Source organism: Homo sapiens, chromosome 1 (assembly GCF_000001405.40).
Source record: "Homo sapiens chromosome 1, GRCh38.p14 Primary Assembly".
In the NCBI taxonomy this organism is placed as follows: Eukaryota; Metazoa; Chordata; class Mammalia; order Primates; family Hominidae; genus Homo; species Homo sapiens.
Genome location: NC_000001.11, coordinates 232,967,035 through 232,984,954, shown reverse-complemented (window position 1 = coordinate 232,984,954; position 17,920 = coordinate 232,967,035). Strand labels below are relative to the sequence as shown.

Here is a 17,920-nt window from a genome sequence, read left to right as displayed (position 1 = left end):
TCTATGGGTGTAGTTCTGGGATTCTGTCAAATTCTCCTTCCTGCTCTCCAAAATGGACAATTGTCGTAGGGACCACATGCCCCCAGAATACAATGGCCTCTGTGTTCTACTGGGGTCAAGCCTGCTAGAACTCAGCATTCATGACAGGGGCTAAGTGTGCATGAAGTGACACTGACTACAGCTAGAAAGCCAGGCGCACAAATGCCCCTTCCCCCCAGGGCCGCTCTTTCCAGCGCAGTCATCCAGAAAGGCCCACGTGCAGAGCCCCTGTGTCTCAGATGCTGCTTCAGTTGCCCGTCCTGTCCTCAGAGGCCACTGTGCTGGCCCTCTATCATTTGACCTGACTTTAGAACCTGACCTCAAGGATATGGCAGCGCTAGCCTTTAGCTCCCACAGCACGGATGGGGGTGATGCCAGTTAGAAGTGGGTAGTGAACGTTTGCTGAGCTGTTCACTGTTTCTCTCTTCTCTTTGGAAGCACCTCTCCGAGCCATGTGAGCCCCCTGATGCCACCGAGCAGGGGCAGCTTCATGACCGATGTCTGGCTGAGGCTGTGGCGGACACTCTCGGGGTTGTCTGCAGGAGAGCAAGCCAGGAGGACATGGGCCTGGACGACACGGCCTCGCAGCAAAGTGTGTCAGACGAGCAGTGACGGGCGTGCGGCCGGGCGGGGAGGCTGGCTCCCCCACACCTCCCACCTGCATTGCTCTCCCTCGTGCTCCCCAAATCACCACAACCAACCAATACCGCGATCCATGAGGGACTCCTCCTGTGGAAAAGGAGAGCTGTTCCAGAACACAGAACTGATCTCAGGTTTTTGAAAAAAAAAAAAAAAAAAAAAAAAAAATCAAACAACAACAACAAAAAAACCTCACATGATGGGGAAACAAAAAAAAGCAACAAAGAAGCCACACCACACCTCCCTGGCCAGGCACAGCGCTGCCCAGAGCGGCACACCGCGGACAGCACCACACATGTTCCAGAATCTGAAATCTCAAAAGCCATTCACTAACTTAAAACAACTCAACAGAGCCATGAAACAAATGCCCTGATGAAAATAAGACAACTGCATGTTACATCATCGGCACTTTATACATTACTGTTACCATGAAAAAGAAATGAACAGCAGCACGTCTGATACCATCAGCTGGGCAGATGCATTAAGGTTAAATCTAAGTGTCAAGAAAACCCTATTTCTTTATAATATTTATGCAGCTGTTAAGCGTAACATGGTGGCAGCTTCACAACAAGAACCGTGATCATGCATGCAGTCATGTCTCCAGTATTCTGTGAAAAGCCAGGATACGTTAGGATGTGAGTTTAGAAACTGAGTCCATTCGGTGCATGGAAATCCACCGCGGAGTCACACAATGCTCCTCACTGTAGTCCAGGCGATTGGTGGGCCGCCAGCACCCTGCGGGCTTCACAGGGACGCGTGCTTGTTCTCCAAGCCCCGCAACCCTTACTGTGCACACAACATCGCACACACCTTTGTTTTTGAAATTAAAATGTTTATAGTTATTGCTGCGTCCAGTGTTTTGAGTTATACTGAAGCTTCTCATTTCTACAAGTATATCTTTTATGGTGAGAACGACATTTGGGTAAATTCTGAGACAACTTTTCCCATCTTCAAGACCCCAGGAACCTGTATCCTTGCTGGGGTAGAGGTCCCAAAATGCAGTCCATAGAGTATCACTGGCCTGGTGAACCATCCCTTTTCAAAAGACAATAGTTAGAAGGAAATACTCAATTTTAAACAGTCACACAAATTTCTTCAAAGTATTTAGGATTTGGAAATTTGAGGAGAGGGTTGGGGGAAGGGTATTGTAGAGAATCTCTTGCCCCTTGGAAAGTAAATGGTAATGCTTTTCTAATTTTTTTTTTTGTAAACTAAGAATCAGCAATTAATAAAAGCAAGTGTACTCTATAATCACAGACAGAAGGTTCTTATTTTCAGGTCAGCACTCCCTAGAGGTGCAAACTTTATTTAATTTAAATGCAGTTGTTTGTCTAATGGGAAGCTGATAGGGCCTTGCTGCAGTTCTCTAAGGTGGCCAAATTAAACTTGGCTGGCAGCTCCTGTAATCCTCTTGGGCAACTTTACAGCCAAGCCCCAAGGGCTAAATGGCAGGCCTGGAGCTGTGAGTGTGGCCTCCCCACGGAGGGTGACTCCTTGAGTTCAGTGAGGAAAACCACGGTGCCTGGCAGTGGTCAGCCAGGAGTATGACTGGCCACTCCTTAGGCATCCAGAAGTAGGAAACACAGAAAGCATTCCACAAAACGGGGAATCTCCCCAAAGAGCTAGAAACCCAGGCTGGAAGGAAATGGCAGCGCAGGCAAGAGAGCAAGAGCACCCTGGGTGCTCCTCCATCCCGTTTCTCTGGGGAGGTTCATGAGGTGCTTCTTCAACAGTTATTCTGTTCATTGCTTATCACAGTTCACGAGTTCTCGTGGCATCTTTTGTGGGGAGGAGGGAGGATGAAAGTGACACAGTGTATCTACAACACTAAGGTCACATTAATCAGATAGGAATGCAGTGACGCTCTGCACCGTCTATGAGAGCGGGCATCTCGAGTGTGCATACCGAGGCACAGATGTGCACACACATCCGCAGGCAACTGCACCCACAGAGAAAAGGTGGCAGTATTGGAGTCACCCCAGGATTCTTGGGGGCTGTTTGACCAGCCATCAACAGTGCAGCCATACTTCTTTTTCTTTTTTATCGTGGTACACAACTTTTATATTTACAACTCATGAACTTGTTAATCTGGTCCTTCATCTAGTCAGCTATGTATCAGAAAGGACTTCCTGCAAAATGTTATATTCTAAGCCCCCATTTAGAGGAGGCATCCCTAAACTGACATTTCTTGCTAGAGTTGTTCAAATATTCTGCCAGTATATAGCTAAAGAGTTATTTTCCAGTTCAAGAGTTATTTGGGGGCTGGGCACGGTGGCTCACGCCTGTAATCCCAGCACTTTTGTAGGCTGAGGCAGGCAAATCATGAGGTCAGGAGTTCGAGACCAGCTTGGCCAACATGGTGAAACCCCGTCTCTACTAAAAATACAAAAAATTAGCTGGGCGTGGTGGCGGGTGCCTGTAATCCCAGCTACTCAGGAGGTTGAGGCAGGAGAATCGCTTGAACCCAGGAGGCGGAGGTTACAGTGAGCCGAGATAGCACCACTGCACTCCAGCTCAAGCGACAGAGTGAGACTCTGTCTCAAAAAAAAAAAAAAAAAAAAGAGTTATTTGGACACAGATCAAAATGGTTTCTCCTCTAAAGATAATATTAAAACCATAGCACTTGGTTTTATATAAATCATGTGGCCAATTTGGCATTATTGATTCTAAATTTTGCAGTGTGTTGAAATCATCTGGCAAGTAATTTGTTAAAATCATGCGATGCTTCAACTTCTTTGCCCACAAAATGTGCAATGCAATGCCTGTTTACTTAGCCCACCCGTCTCCAGCCTCATCTACCATGCTGTTTTGTCCCAAGTCACTATGCTACACAAGCATCCGCCATCAGCACACACACAGGTGTGATCCACAGACACAACCTTCTATGAATACGGTAATTGGCAGGAAAAGAAGAGGAGCAGGTCTGTTCCACATTTTCCAGCCCACCAGCGTTCCCACCCCCTTGATAACTGGAGGGCTGGGAACTGAGTGCCTGAATTTGCAGCTTTACTAGGATCTCTCCCTGTCAAGGCTGATCATCAGAGATGACACTATCCATTTAAAAGACTCACCCATCTCCCTGCATGTGCTTACCCTCACTGAGAGGTAAGAAGAAACAATTTATTAAACTATTACGTGTTAAGCAGCTGGCGGTATGATCTGCTAAGGAGGAAAAGGAAAGAATGATTTAGTAAATCGTGCTTCAAATCAGTCCTGATTCCTCCCATCCGACCTTGTTATTCTAGCTGAGATTCTTCATATAAGCAATACATGTTAATTCTGTGCTTTTCAAATTGAATTCCTCCCTGAGACTCATATCCAACCATCTGTTAGATATTTTGCTTTGTTTGAATAGGAGGCATTCCAAACTCAGGTATAAGAGAATCCCTGACTTCAATCTGCCCTGCTGCCCCCACCCCACCATCCGGCAAGAGCTCCTCACCTCAGCCGTGGCACCGACAGGGAGGTGGCGCTCAGCTCTGCTCCTCTCATCCTGGCTGCGTGCAGGGAGGGGACGGTCACGTGGAGTTCTGCCACGGCACCTCTTCTTCCTTTAAATCTCAGCATGACACTGTTGCTACAGGCTGTGTGCGTTTGGCCCTGAGTTCTAGTTATCTGTGAATTCATCTTATCCTTCATTAAATGTCATTGCCTTACAATACAGGGATTGCATCTGACATCTCCATACATGCTCCATGATCATTCTGTTTGACTAATACAACAATCATTTCAGGACCTCACCACAAGAGACACTAAACGTTCTTTGGATTTACAGCAGTTTATCACTGCTAAATGTCAACTCTGAGGTCTGGGGGCACAAAACACACTAAAAATGCTAAAGCCTCAAGAAGGACGCAGCAGGGAGTGATGAAAGAGTGAACTTTGGAGCCACGCAGACGTGGGTTCAAATCTCCTTTGTCACCGCTATCACTGTGCTCCTGAACGAACCACTTAAACACTCCAAGCTTGTCTCTTTACCGTTAAAGGGAAAGTGTGCAGAAGCTCCCGCAGCCCCAAGTGCTAGGGGCCACCCTGAATCTGTTCCACACAAGTGCATACTTTCAAGTAGGCAGTGACACTCCCACCCCACATAAGCACAACTGGCTTCAGTGATAAGCCCCTCAGACTAGCTATTTAACTTTGAAATAACCTTCACCAGCTTTCTTTCTCATTTAAGACAAAATCAAAGTCTACAAAACAGACACGGCTGAAACACCAAGCTCAAAAGGACAAGCACCAGAAGGAACATGGCCCTTGGTGTTTCAGATGCATGAAGGGCGGAAACGCAAAACGGCCTCCCGGAGGTGCCAGGAAAGGCTCCATCTTGATGGGGTCCCACTCCAGCTGGGGCTGACCAGCTCCACCACGCCTGGGTGCACATTGATGACATTTCCCCAGCCTGCCTCCCTATCTCTTGGTTCTCCTGAGGGCTGTGGTACTTTCAGATTTACGGCCAGGATCAGGTTCCCAGGCCTTTGTGGGAAGCCTCTACCCAACTCAGAGGCCGTGCCTCTCCTGGCCCACTGAGGCATGCAGCCCACACCGGTGTCCTGGTGATGGTGGCTGGAAGTCACAGCCAGCCTGCCAGACATCCTGAGCTCGGAACTCAGTCTCCCTGAACAGCCCCGCCAGGCAGGGACTGTGGAAGGAGATGCCCACTTCCTCCTCCTGGGCAGGTAGCCCTTTTGAGGGCTTAGTTCATAATCTATTAGGCCTCCCTGTTGTGGTCCCTCCAAGGCTAGGCAAGTCCAAGTCAAGCTTCACAAAGTTACCTCGGAAGAAAAGCGCTGAGGAAAGAGACACTGATGGAGGAACCAGACCTGGGCTGCGTGCCATTTTGGTTTTGATGTGAGCCCCTCCCGCCCCATTCACTGTGCCCCAGTGCCCAGCCCAGGGCTCCTCACCCGCCACATGCCCGACTTGTCCACAGTTAGAGAGAAGGCACACTGCTGCTTATACCAGTGGGTTTGTAGCCAATGCTAATTTGTTAAAAAAAAATCCTGGAAATTCATAGATCTTCACCAAAAATGACCTAAAAACACTGAACTGTTTATCACTCCAGTACCATCTACCACTTGGAGGGAAGTTTTTATCCTCTATCAGTTCTGGGGTTTCAGGGGTCTCTTCTACTTTCCTACTTCATTTTTATAGTACCCCTGTTATGGGCTGAACTCCGCATTGCTACACCATTATTCCTGATAAGCCCAGCCCCTGGCACTGGGCACTCTCCACAGTTGTGTGGAGTGGTTGACAGTTTCCTTCTGTGGTGTGACATCACTCCTGAGATGACAGCCACTTCCTGCTTTTCTGGAAGGGAAACTAGGCATAGAAAGATTCAAAATTGCTCCCGAGTAAACTAAGGCAAAGCAGTGCTCTTATGCAAACCCGTGGGCCTGAGCTCTTGTCATCTGGTCGGCTGAATATCAGATGCTATCAACACTTCCAAAGGTTGTGTATTCCTCCCACACAATGCCTCCTGTCTGTAACCATCAGATTTATTTTTATATTTATTAAGCAGTAAGCAAACAGAGTTGGGGGAGATGACCTAAAATGGTTTTCTTTTGGAATAATATTTTTTAAAAAATCAAATAACTGTTATCACTTTAAGTTGCATGAGGCTGAAGCTGCACCTGGAGAGGAATTTAATTTTCATGACATGCAAAACTGATTAGGCAGTGAACTCTTTCCTCCCGCTTCCCCTGAACACATTTATAAACTTCAACGGGGGTGAATTCCATCTAATACTCTGAAAACCATTTCTCATCTCACAGTTTACCCAAATCATGTGCATGACTGCAAGAGGAAATAAACAAGAAATCTTTAAGCATAGATAAGCCACAATGGATAGTTAATCTTGTACAGACAATCCAGCATTAAGGCTAATTTGATCTTTTAAACATTTTATGGGAAACAGCTGTTGAGTTTTCTCTAGAAAAGCCCACAAGGTTCCATAACCCCATAGGCATACAGCCTCGACAGGCAGGGCTCCATCAGGCTCCTCTTGAACTGGGCACTCCTTCACGGAAGGCAGGAATGCACGTGTCTTCACTTCCTGCTGCTCTGCACGCACGTCACGATATCTGGCAGAAGGTGGTTTCTGTTTTCCTTGGTGACCTGTGGGAAGAAGTGAGAGAACAGGCTTCAGAGCTCCTTTCCTCTTCTTCAATCTTGTGCTAGGTAACTCTCTAAAAGAAACGCCTGGAAGGCTGGGAGAGGGTGAGGTATGTTTTGTTACCCAGGCAGGAGGCCCAGCTCTTCAGGAGCACTCAGAAACAGGACAGGAATCACCGAGTCCCAGCATCAGTTTCTGCCAAGTGACAGCTCAAAAAGTCAAAGTGGGTTTGGAGCCCAGACAGATTTCAGCCAACCATGGGGAGAGCTGTGAAGTGAGTCCGACGAGGCACACCGGGACGGATGATGGGCACACAGGACCCCTGAGCACGACCTGTCCTGAATGGAAGGAACTCAACTGTTGGAGTGAAGCGAGGAGGAGAGCCTGGGAGCCAGCGGGGCCCAGGAGGGCACCCAGCAGAGCAGCAGTGAAGCGCCCAGGATTCTGGGATGCTCAGTCATCTACCCGCCTCTCCACAAACATCAAGTGCTCATTTGAAACATGGAGAAGTGGGAGAGCCAGAGACGTGAGGGTGCCTCCGTACAGACTGTTACTCAGGCCTCCTGACTGCAGTGTGTTCTCCAACACTTACACCATTACAAAATCAAACAAAAGCAACAAAGAGTTCACCAGAGCTTTACCCGATGATCTGTTTATTTTTCTTTCACTACCACACCATCCCGAGTGCCCCAGGGTAAAGGAAGGGCCATCTCTGCTCCCATCACAGTGCCTTCCTACTTGGCCCATATAATATCCATCCACTCAACACACGCTGATGGGGTGGAAGGGCAAACAGGAGCCAGGCACAGAGATGCGCATAGAGAAGCACCACAGGTAAGGACCCTGACCTCATGGAGCTCGCAGACCAGGACAGGACAGGCATGAACAAGGACAATGAAGGAGTCTGGGGGGCAGGCAGGAACAGGGGCATGTGTGGGGTCAGGGGCAGGAAAGGCTTCCAGGGGTGCTTAAGCCTGGATGTAATTTCGACAGGTGAACCATGGAAAAGGGGCTGAGCCAAGGTTCCCGGTAAGAGCAGGGAGTGCATGTGGAAGCCTTCTGAGGTTCAGGGTGGTTGTATCTGAAGAGGGGGCCTGGCATACAATAGGTGCCAATACATGTCTGAAGAGGAGATGCAGAGCGGACCTCGTCAATTCTGGTTCCTGGCACCTGCTCACCCTTCTTGGAAGAGTGCTCTGGTTGTCTTTAGGAGACTGTACGGTCTAGGAAACTTGCCCCCAGCCAACAAGTGGGCAAGCCAGGCCCTGGCAACTTCTCTGAGATCTGTACCCCAAGAGGAGTGACTGAGATCTGCACCCCAAGAGGAGTGAGCTCACGCAGCAAGTGCCAGAAGCTGATCCCATTTCTACTGGTCCTGGCTGCGTCAATCCCGTGATCCCATTTCTACTGGTCCTGGCTGCGTCAGTCCCGTGATCCCATTTCTACCGGTCCTGGCTGCGTCAATCCTGTGATCCCATTTCTACTGGTCCTGGCTGCGTCAATCCTGGGCGGCTGTGGCTCCACTTGAAATGAGGACAGTCAGCTTTTCCTTTGGCTTCATGGGACAGCTCCAAAGCCTATAAGGCTTTTTGATGCTGTTTTCACTTAAGTTAGCCAAAGTCCATTCCTGTTGTTTGCATTCAAGGAATCCACCTGAGGTAGAAAGGAGGCGACACAGAGGTGGGCACCACAGGGGCCCTTTTCTTCCACTCTGAGTTCAGCAGTGATTGCAGTAGCTTCTGCCTCCAGCCAGGCTCTGTGAGAGTGGACTGTGATACACAGCTGGAGAATTTGCTCTGGTCTTCTATGACACAGTACGGTGACTACAGAGTAAATAACAAGGTAGTGTATATTTCAAGATAGCTAGAAGAGAAGATTTTGAATGTCATCACCACAAAAATGATAATTTAAAGTGACAGATATGGAAATTACCCTGATTTGATCATTATACAATGTATACATGCACTGAAACATCACACTGTACCCCATAAATATGTACATTATATCAATTACAAATTAAAAATTAATTTGAAAATTGAGCAGAATGCAAACACTCCAATATTAATATTTTGATACTCCCTTTGATTTCCCTAAGATTATTTCTGAAAATTATGCAATAAAATGTTGATGTGCAACTCTCTGCAGTATTCACTTATGATATTCCCTGTTGAGAAAAGCACACTCCCAAATGCAAGAACAAGGATCACAGCATCTGCCAACCTCAGGAGTCTTTGCCTTATGTGAAATTCTAGTCTACTTTTTATTCAACAGCCAGAATTTTGGTTGCAGAAAGCCTTTCCTGAGAAGCTAATTAGAAGAGGGAACTGGGAGCTGGGAGCAGGAAAAGGAAATAAAGAAGACTGCAGAAAGAAGAAAGTAATCCCAACCATTCTTTTTTTCTGCACTGGAGCCTTAAGAGAAAGAAAGGAAGCTGAGTGAACCTGAACCCTTGCACCTGCCCAGTGGCTGTAGGGGGGCCCTTGGTAAGAATTTATCCTGGGCACAGTGAAGATAAGACTGTGAGCACCATGGGGTCAGAGGCCACATCTCATTCATCCTGTGACCTCCAGATCCAATCCCTTGCTTATTAGGAATGTTGGGGGCCCTTCCCACAGTTTCAAGGAAATGCATGTGGTTTTGTTTTGCTTTCTTGCACATAGTTGTATACTAAGAGGCATTTCTTCCCCTGCCTGCTCCATCCATGTTTTCAGGTCTGGGGTTGTTAAAGTCAGAACATAAGCAGGACCCAGTATCTGGTACTGCATCTGTGCCCAGCAGATGAGTCAAGTACTGTCTCTCGCCGTACCTAGGCCAACCAGATGAGAAGACAAATTTGTGATATCACCACCTCAACTTCTTATTTAAACAATCAAGAAGCGGGAAGGGGAGACTGAGCAGGGCATACAGACACTGATCATATTAAACAAGTTAGAAGGCAGTGAGGTAGCATGCAAGCAGCCTGGAAGATCAGATAATATCCACTCACTGCTGCCAAGAACATGTGCACCCCAAGGTCTAAACAAGAGGCTTAGTCATACTATGAAGCTGCCAGCTTGAAAAAGAACTAAAGTTGTTGATAACATTTTCAATGTTATGACATTAACTAGAAGGCAGCAAAATCAATCAATGACACACTCATTGGGATACAATGGGATAAAACTCAATGGGATACAATGGTAATAACCTCTTAGAGTTCTGAAAAACAAATTATTGAAGAACCCATAAGTCACCTGCTATGATTTGACTGTGTCCCCCACATTTCATGTGTTGGAAACTTAACCCCCATGCAAATAGAGGTGGGACCTTTAAGAGGTGATTAGGTCATGGGGGCAGCCCTCATGAATGGATTAATGCCATTATAGTGGGAGGGAGTGAGTTATGGCAGGACTGGGTTACTGATAAAATGATGTCTGGTTCTCCCTCTCTATTGTTCACTGCTAAAACTCCAGTGGATAGAACAGTACCTGACATACAGTGCGTGCTCAATATTTACCAAATAGATGAATAAAAATACTCCATCACCAATTTCTTCTACTGATGCTTTACTAGGTAATAGGAGGTGCCAAAGATTGTATCAGTGAGATTTTATTTTCCTTCTCAGGTACTGTTCTTTCTTTTCTTTTTTCAGCTATTTTTTTTAACACATCAGAGAATGTTATCGTTTTGCCTCAACTGTCAAACATAATTCTTCAAAAGTCAACAGAGGAAGAAAAGCCCACTACACTCACTCAGAGTTTTACTCTTCCCATTGTTCTTTCTTCCTTCCTGATGTTCCAGGTCTCCTTTTACCATTTCCTTTCTGATAAGAGAACTTCCTTTGGCCATTCTTTTAGAGCAGTTCTATTATGACAAATTCTCTTAGTTTTCCTTCATCTGTGAATGTCTTATAGAATTATGAGTCGACAGTTGTTTCAACACTTGGAAAATGTACCACCTCCTTCTGGCCTTCATGGTTTCTCCTGAGAAATCTGCTGTCACTCATATTGTTTTTACCCTATAGGTAAGGTGCTGCTTTCCTTTCACTGCTTTCAAGACTTTAATTTTCATAAGTTTGACTATGGTATGTCTTGGCATGAATTTGAGTTTATCCTCTTGGGGTTCACTGAAAATGTAGGTTTATGTCTTTTGCCAAATATGACAAAAATGCAGCCATTACTTCTTCAAACACTTTTTCAACCCCACACTCATCTCCTGTTACTACAATGATGTGAATGTCACATCTTTTGTTATAGTCCCACAGGTCCCAGAAACTCTGTTCATTTTGTTCATTACTTTTTCTTTTAAGTCTGCTCTTTGTCAGGTAATTTCTATTGTTCTACCTTCAAGTTCACTGATTCTTTCTCCTGTCATCTCTATTCTGCTGATGAGCCCATTCAGTGACTTTTTTATTGGCTATTGTATAGTTCTAAAATTTTCATTTGATTCTTCTATCTTCTAGGTTTTTGCTGAAACTTTCCAGTTCTTGCTGAGACTATTTTTCATTTGTTTCATGTGTATCTGTAATTTTATGAAGCATTTTTATGATAGCTGTTTTCAAATCCTTGCCCTATAATTCCACTATCTGAGTCACCTTGCTGTTGAGATCTGCTGATGGCCTTTCCTCACTCAGGTTTAGGTATTCCTGATTCTTGGCATGACAAATGATTTTCAGTTGTGTCTGTTGTGTTGTTCCTTAGGTCCTTAGGTTCCTAGCCAGTCTGTCTTTTTCTCTTCACTTTTCAGGTCTTCTTATGCTTGTATTATAAATAACATCCTTAGCAGGAAAAATAAACACAAGTGTGTCTACTCTATCTTGTCTAAAACTGGAAGAGTTCTCGGGTGTTTTTGGAAAGTACTCTGTTCACCCAACGTTATGAAGAATAAGTCAAGATAATATTACTAATTTGTGTGGTATATTTCCCCCATATCATGAGCTCAGTCTCATCTTCACACTATGCATATTCATTGGAAAGTACTCTGTTCACCCAACATTGTGAAGAATAAGTCTAGATAATATTACTAATTCGTGTGGTACATTTCCCCCATATCACGGGCTCAGTCTCATCTTCACACTACGCATGTTCAGCTGGTAGCAAGGGGACGCTGACTCTGACCCCTTTTCATAGCTCATTTTCTTACCTGGAATGTTCTCCCTTCTTTTTCCCATTTCCTCCTTCAAGAGCCAACTCAAGAACCCCTTCCTTTGGACACCTCTCCACTACCACTGCTCACATAGATCTCTCCCTTCCCTGCCCCTAGATTTTGATTGCCCCATGGTCTGTTTTTCTTGAGGGCAGAGATCATGCCTCACAGGTGCCTAAACGATGGACTAAGTACTGAATGTGAAGGGCACTCTCAAAAATGGATTCGGATACTTTATTGCATGTGAGCAATGGAAAGAACCCAAAAATATATCTAATCCAACACCTAAGTTTGCAGATAAAGAAAATGAGGTTCTTGGCCAGGCACAGTGGCTCATGCCTATAATTCCAACACTTTGAGAGGCTGAGGCAGGCAGATTGTTTCAGCTCTTCAATTCGAGATCAACCCCGGGCAACATGGTGAAACCCCATCTCTACAAAAAATGCACAAATGAGTCAGGTGTGGTGGCACATGCCTGTAGTCCCAGCTTTTTGGGAGGCTGAGGTGGAGGATGGCTTCAGCCTAGGAGGCAGAGGATGCAGTGAGCCAAGAGCATGCCACTGCACTCCAGCATGGGCCACAGAGACTAACCTTGTCTCAGAAAAAAAGAAAATGAGGTTCTTGATTTATAAAACTGGAAAAGGCCAGGCACAGTGGCTCACACCTGTAATCCCAGCACAGATTACTCTGGGCAACAGAGCAAGACTCTGTCCCTCCCCCTCAAAAAAATAAGTTAAATAAAAAATAAAATAAAACTGAAACAGAAGGACCACACAAACCCCAAAGCAACAACAACAAAAAAAAACAGGGTATGTCAGCCCCTATCTCTTACTTAATTAACTCAAAGCTAATTGTTTTATTTACAGATCATTAGAAGCAATGATTATCTTGCCTGGAGAATAATTTTGAGTCTCAGAGAGCGGAAGAAATGTGGTATGATCCTAAGACACAAAGTCTGTTTCTGGGCATCACAGTCAGCTCCTTTCAATCCTTCCTTAGGACTGTTAGATTAGATTAGTTTGTGGAACTAGCCAATCCCTGGAGTCTAACACTAGCAATTTCCCGGTCTTCCAGCCTAGAAGCTATCTGACCTCAAAACTAATTTTCTTTCATGATCTTTCACTATTCATTGCCTTGATTTCCATGGAAACTCTATAATCACAACCAAAAATGTAAAATAAGAGAAGACGACATGAAACTCTGAAGAACCCCACAGACTTTTCAGGGCTCTCAAATGTCACCTCCTTGAAGAGACCTTCCCTGATCGCCCTTGCTACTCCTGCCCCCAACTACCACATTGCCTGGTTTCTTTATTTTTGCCTTTATCAGTATCTGAAATTGCTTAACTTATCTGTTCACATTTTTGGTATTCAGCTCCTCCATTAGAATGTAAGCTCCATGAAAGCAGCGCCTTGGTCAGTCTCGTTCACCACAGTATCCCAAGACTTAGAATGACACCTAGCATACAGTAGGTGCTCAATCACTATTGACCAAATGAAGGAATAAATAAATCAATAAAGAAGCGCATACATTTTTCCAAGTCTGGCTGGTCTAACCCTAATGGCTGTTTACCACCACACTCCAGGATTCTTGGTGGCAACATGTGGATACTCCAGGATTCTTTGGTGGCAACATGTGGATACTGCCAGTGGGCCAAGGTGACATTTCACTCAGTGATTAAAATGATCATGAGGAAGGTGCTCACGGGTACTCACTCTCCACTCCCCCTGATAGGAGTGGCCCTGCCTGCCTGACTTGTTCACTTGGCACTTGCAGGGCCAGGGAGCTTTTAAACTGGGGGTGGGGAGTGAGGTGTGTGAGCAGAGCTCAGCCAAGAGCACAGCTACCACTGACTCAAAGAAACTAAGGGTAGGGGTTGGGGAGAAGCAATATCTGACTGAGAGGAAAACAGAGGGACAACAGGGAAAGAAAGGCAAGAATTTAGACAAAGTGCCAGCAATGCCATGAGTCCCTTCCGACTGGCTCAGACGCTGCCACTGGTCAACAAGCCCTAGCCCCTCATCTCTCACATGTGGTCTACAGCAGTGCTTCTCAAAGTGCGGGGGACCTAAAAACCACATGAGAACTTGCCAGAACAGATCATGGGGCCATCCCCCAGAGTTTGACTCCTTGGACCAGGGCAAGGCCCACTCCCAGGTGATGCCCATGCTGCCATTCTGCAAGCCTCACACTGAGTGGCACATCCTACAGATGCACTAGTGAATGTAGCAGCCACACGAGACCACAGAGCACCTCAGATGTGGCCAGTGTGACTGAGAATCCAAATGTTTAATTCAATTTAAATTTGATTATTTATGTGATTAAATAAATAATTCAATTTAAATATGATTAAATTTATTAAACATAAATAGCGAGATGTGGCTAGTCGCTACTGTTCTGAGCAATGCAGAGAGCACATTTCCCTCACTACTGGGAAGTTCAACTGGACGGTGCTGCTCTTCAGCACCTGGAAGCTGTGTCTCCCAACACATCCACAGCCTCTTCTCCCCACAAGCACAAGTGGGTCAGCTTTAAAAGGGAAATCTTTAAAACAAAACAAAAAATATTTGCCTCTGTATCCCAACCTGGCGCCTTTCAATCTGAGAAGAGATAAGCTTAGAACAAGCACCTTAGCTCAGGCAATTCTGATGCCAGAGAGGTCCTAGTGTCTGGTGAGGAGATGGAAGAAAAAAGCAGCCAGAACAACTGGGACCGTCAGGAGGCCCCCCCATAAGCGAGTTTGTTTTTTCATCAAGTAGAGGTATAATTTAAGTTCTATACATTTCTAGAAAATTAGACTCACCTACATTTCAGCATGGAAGGGAAAAAATGTTAACTCAAAACCAAAGAGATATTTTAGAGCCATCTGCTATTTTAGATCATCTGCTCCATTTCCACTGATTATGGAGGACTGGCTGTACTCACATTAAACACCTTCACATCCTTTCTGTTTCTGATTTCTTCTACAAGAGCCAGTGGCTTTCCTTTAGGAACTGGGATTGTGCCAAGGATTATAGTCCCTGGGGTAGACAGCGTCTGACGAACAGCTTGAATGAAAAGCTGACTGAAGAGCTCCATCTTCCCAATCTCATCGATGACGCACACTCTTTGCCCTGGGCCACTGCTGCAGTCGGCCTGAGAATGACAAAGACTTTCACTGGGACATCAGAGTCACATTAATCAAAGGGCCCATGGGTCCCACTCCCCAATCACTCACCAATGAGGTAAAAAAGACAGAAACCTTTTTACTGGATTTCAAAAAGTGACAGCATCCCACAGACCACCGCTGGTACTGTGTGGGAGGGGACTGCACAAGGGTGAGTCCCAGGAGCTGGGAATCATTAGGACTCTTGGAAGCTGGCAGCTATGCCTGTCACCAGTGGGATGTTCAAGGAAGTAACGGACATAAATTGGAATAAAGTCATGAGAAAGAGAATCTGAGATCTAAAGGATGCAATTGTACTTACTTTTTTTTCCCCTTTAGCCAAGACTTGTTTCCTTTTAATTTTCACTTTTTTCCAACAACGCTTATGGACCAGATCATGAAATACACAAACATCTACCTAGAGCAGTTATCTCCCCCCCAGCACGTAGGGAATCTCATATGGCTCAAAATGGAAAAAAGAGGCCATTATTATCAACAAAGGCTCCCATGCTTGCTGTCTCACTTTTTTTAAGCCTGAGGTATTTGGGTGCCACTTATTTTCTGGTTGTATATAAATATAAAGCTTGATCTCTGTCTTGGATCCCCTCTCTCGAATCACTCACTCTGGGGGAAGAGAAGTGCTATGCTGTGAGGATACTCAGGCAGCTGACGGTGAGGTCCACGTGGTGAGGCACTGAGGCCTCATGCCAACAGCCAAGAGGAAATGAACCTGCCAGCAACCACATGAGCAAGCTTAGAGGCAGGGCCCTCCCAGGCAAGCCTCAGATGACCACAGCCCCAGCCAACAGCTTGACTGCAACCTCAGAACCCCAGCTAAGCTGTACCTGGATTCCTGATCCTCAGATACTGTGTACAATAATGTGTTTGTTGTTTTAAGCTGCTAAATTTTGAGATAACTTGTTCCATAGCAACATATAACTAACACACATGTCCTCTATAGAAAGCCTTCCTGGGGAAGGCTGACAGGACTTTGGTTGATTCTTCCCTGGGAGGGACAAAACAGAACATGTAATAAACACTTCAATGAATGGTGAATGACAAATACACCTTATATATGTTTGTATACATGATTATTTTGAAAACTGTATGTAAAGCTGATTTACAAAGTATTCTTCACTACAGTTCTGATTCCTTAAATGATGACAGCAATATAGTCCTAGAGGGCATGTCTGAGTTAAGCTAGATTTTGTTCAAATTCCAAAAGCCAAAGCAGCATATGGTACAGTGTGGCTGGTGGTAGGGATCAGTGGCAACCAGGGGCAGCCAGTGACAGACGGGGCTGCGGGCCCAGATCCTAAAGGCCTTCGAAGGCACACACAGAGGTGGGAATCTTCTCCCACAGCCGAAAGAGTCTAATCCAGGGAGGATCACAAGTTGTGCTAGAAAGACTGCTGGCTGTGGAGTCAGAAACAAATGTTAGACTCCTTTTGGAATAGACAAGATAAGATAGTGGGTGTCTAAACCCCAGTTGTGATTGCACGGAAGCAGTACAGCAGTGTTTTTCAGACTTTTAAGTAAACAGTACTCTATTTTCCTACTGCATATTGTACACTTATGAAATATTTTTCCATTCATTTTATTAGCTAAAAGATCAATAAGGAGTCCACTGTAATCACCCAAGAGAGGTCTGAACAATCTCCGCACTTCTGTGTTTCTGACATGCTTCATTTTTGCCTCTCTATTAAGTTTATCTGTACACACGCCTGGTCTCCCCACTTAGGGCAGGTACATGGTTGTCCTCGTCCGCATCCTTCCTGGGGAACTCACCGATGTCCCAGAGCTGAGAAGTGGGGAGCTGAAGGAGCAATGTCACCCTCCACTGGTGGGGTCGGGGAGAAGGGCAGAGCATCTATGAAGTAAGTCACTACTTATTCCAAGTTTTTCCTCCAAAACGAAAGCCATATTTGGGAGAAATAAAACAGCTATCAACCACCTGTCTATGATAATAAAAACAGACAACTGTACAAGAAGGTTTCTGTCTTCCTGGGGGCATGCCACTCCAACTGACCCGACTGTTCCCAAGTGCTGTGGACATTTTGCTGCCCCCAGAGACGAAGAGTAATTGTGGATGCCATTCCTCTGGAGGCTGTCATCTAAAAGCCAAAATAAAACTTATTCTGGCACCTCAAAATGAGTTTTGGAAGGTGCCAAATCAGACAAGAAGTGATATGAAAGAATGTGTGTACACATGCACATGTATTTATTTGACTATATACATGAGGGTAGTAAAATGCACGTGGCCATGTGTAAATACACACGTACAGGTAGAAAGTGTGTGGCTCTTCAACAACCAGCCTTCCTGCAATCCTCTAGAACATTCACCAGTGAAAGCTCATCAACATTTATTTAAGTTTCAGCACAAAAGAATTTGGACACACATGTATACATTACTTTCTACCAATTGGAAATCCTCATTTTAAAACCTTAGCTTACATAAAATCCTCAATCTGTCCAGAATTGGGGAATTTTATAATCCAAGAACTTCAGGAATCTCAAAAATAAATCTGTGATTTTTAATTAAAAATGCAAGTTATTCATATTCAGTTGAGAGAAAGATGTCAGCTGCTGAGCCACTCTGAAGCATGTAGACACTCAGCCTGCTTTTCTAAATAGTACAAGATCATACACTCAAGGTCTTAAAAAAAGAACCACTATAACGTGTAACATGGTTTTATTTCTATATAAATTCAAGCAACTTTAGAGGGAAACAAAGAAATAAGTAAGTAAACAAACATTCACCCCCTTTACATTGTTCTAAATTGATAGAGACACAGACTTAGAACAATAGGGGCCCAGGTTTGAAGATGGTCAGGAACCCCTCCCCAACCCCCAGTGTGAGGAGA

General features: G+C 45.2%; 2 protein-coding genes across 13 annotated transcripts in view, besides 1 other annotated feature; one reads left to right on the top strand and one right to left on the bottom strand.

Annotated features, from left to right (window-relative positions):
* PCNX2 (pecanex 2) overlaps positions 1–1,520 on the top strand; it is a 343,895-nt gene extending 342,375 nt beyond the window's left edge. For all 5 annotated transcript variants that reach the window (XM_047430870.1, NM_014801.4, XM_047430871.1 and 2 more), the window contains one exon: positions 478–1,520. In XM_047430870.1, the coding sequence (XP_047286826.1) occupies positions 478–651 (174 nt within the window). In that variant the 3' untranslated portion in view covers positions 652–1,520. The remainder of the gene's footprint in view (positions 1–477) is intronic.
* NTPCR (nucleoside-triphosphatase, cancer-related) overlaps positions 1,073–17,920 on the bottom strand; it is a 33,272-nt gene continuing 16,424 nt past the window's right edge. For 5 of the 8 annotated variants that reach the window (NR_138024.2, NR_138026.2, NR_138025.2 and 2 more), the window contains 2 exons: positions 14,837–15,046; positions 1,073–6,792 (listed from right to left, as the gene is read on the bottom strand). Coding sequence is in view for 3 of the 8 variants with exons in the window: in NM_032324.3 (NP_115700.1) it covers positions 6,724–6,792; positions 14,837–15,046 (279 nt within the window). In the remaining 5 variants the exon portion in view is untranslated. The remainder of the gene's footprint in view (positions 6,793–14,836; positions 15,047–17,920) is intronic. The other 3 variants (NR_138028.2, NM_001329452.2, NM_001329453.2) reach the window with 1 other exon arrangement.
* Positions 6,002–7,201: an enhancer, noted in NCBI's record as "BRD4-independent group 4 enhancer chr1:233113500-233114699 (GRCh37/hg19 assembly coordinates)". NCBI's record gives its function as "activates an origin of replication core promoter dependent on BRD2, P300/CBP, MED14 and CDK7 cofactors, and independent of BRD4, by STARR-seq in HCT116 cells {active_cell/tissue: HCT116}" and the evidence as "EXISTENCE:reporter gene assay evidence [ECO:0000049][PMID:35650434]".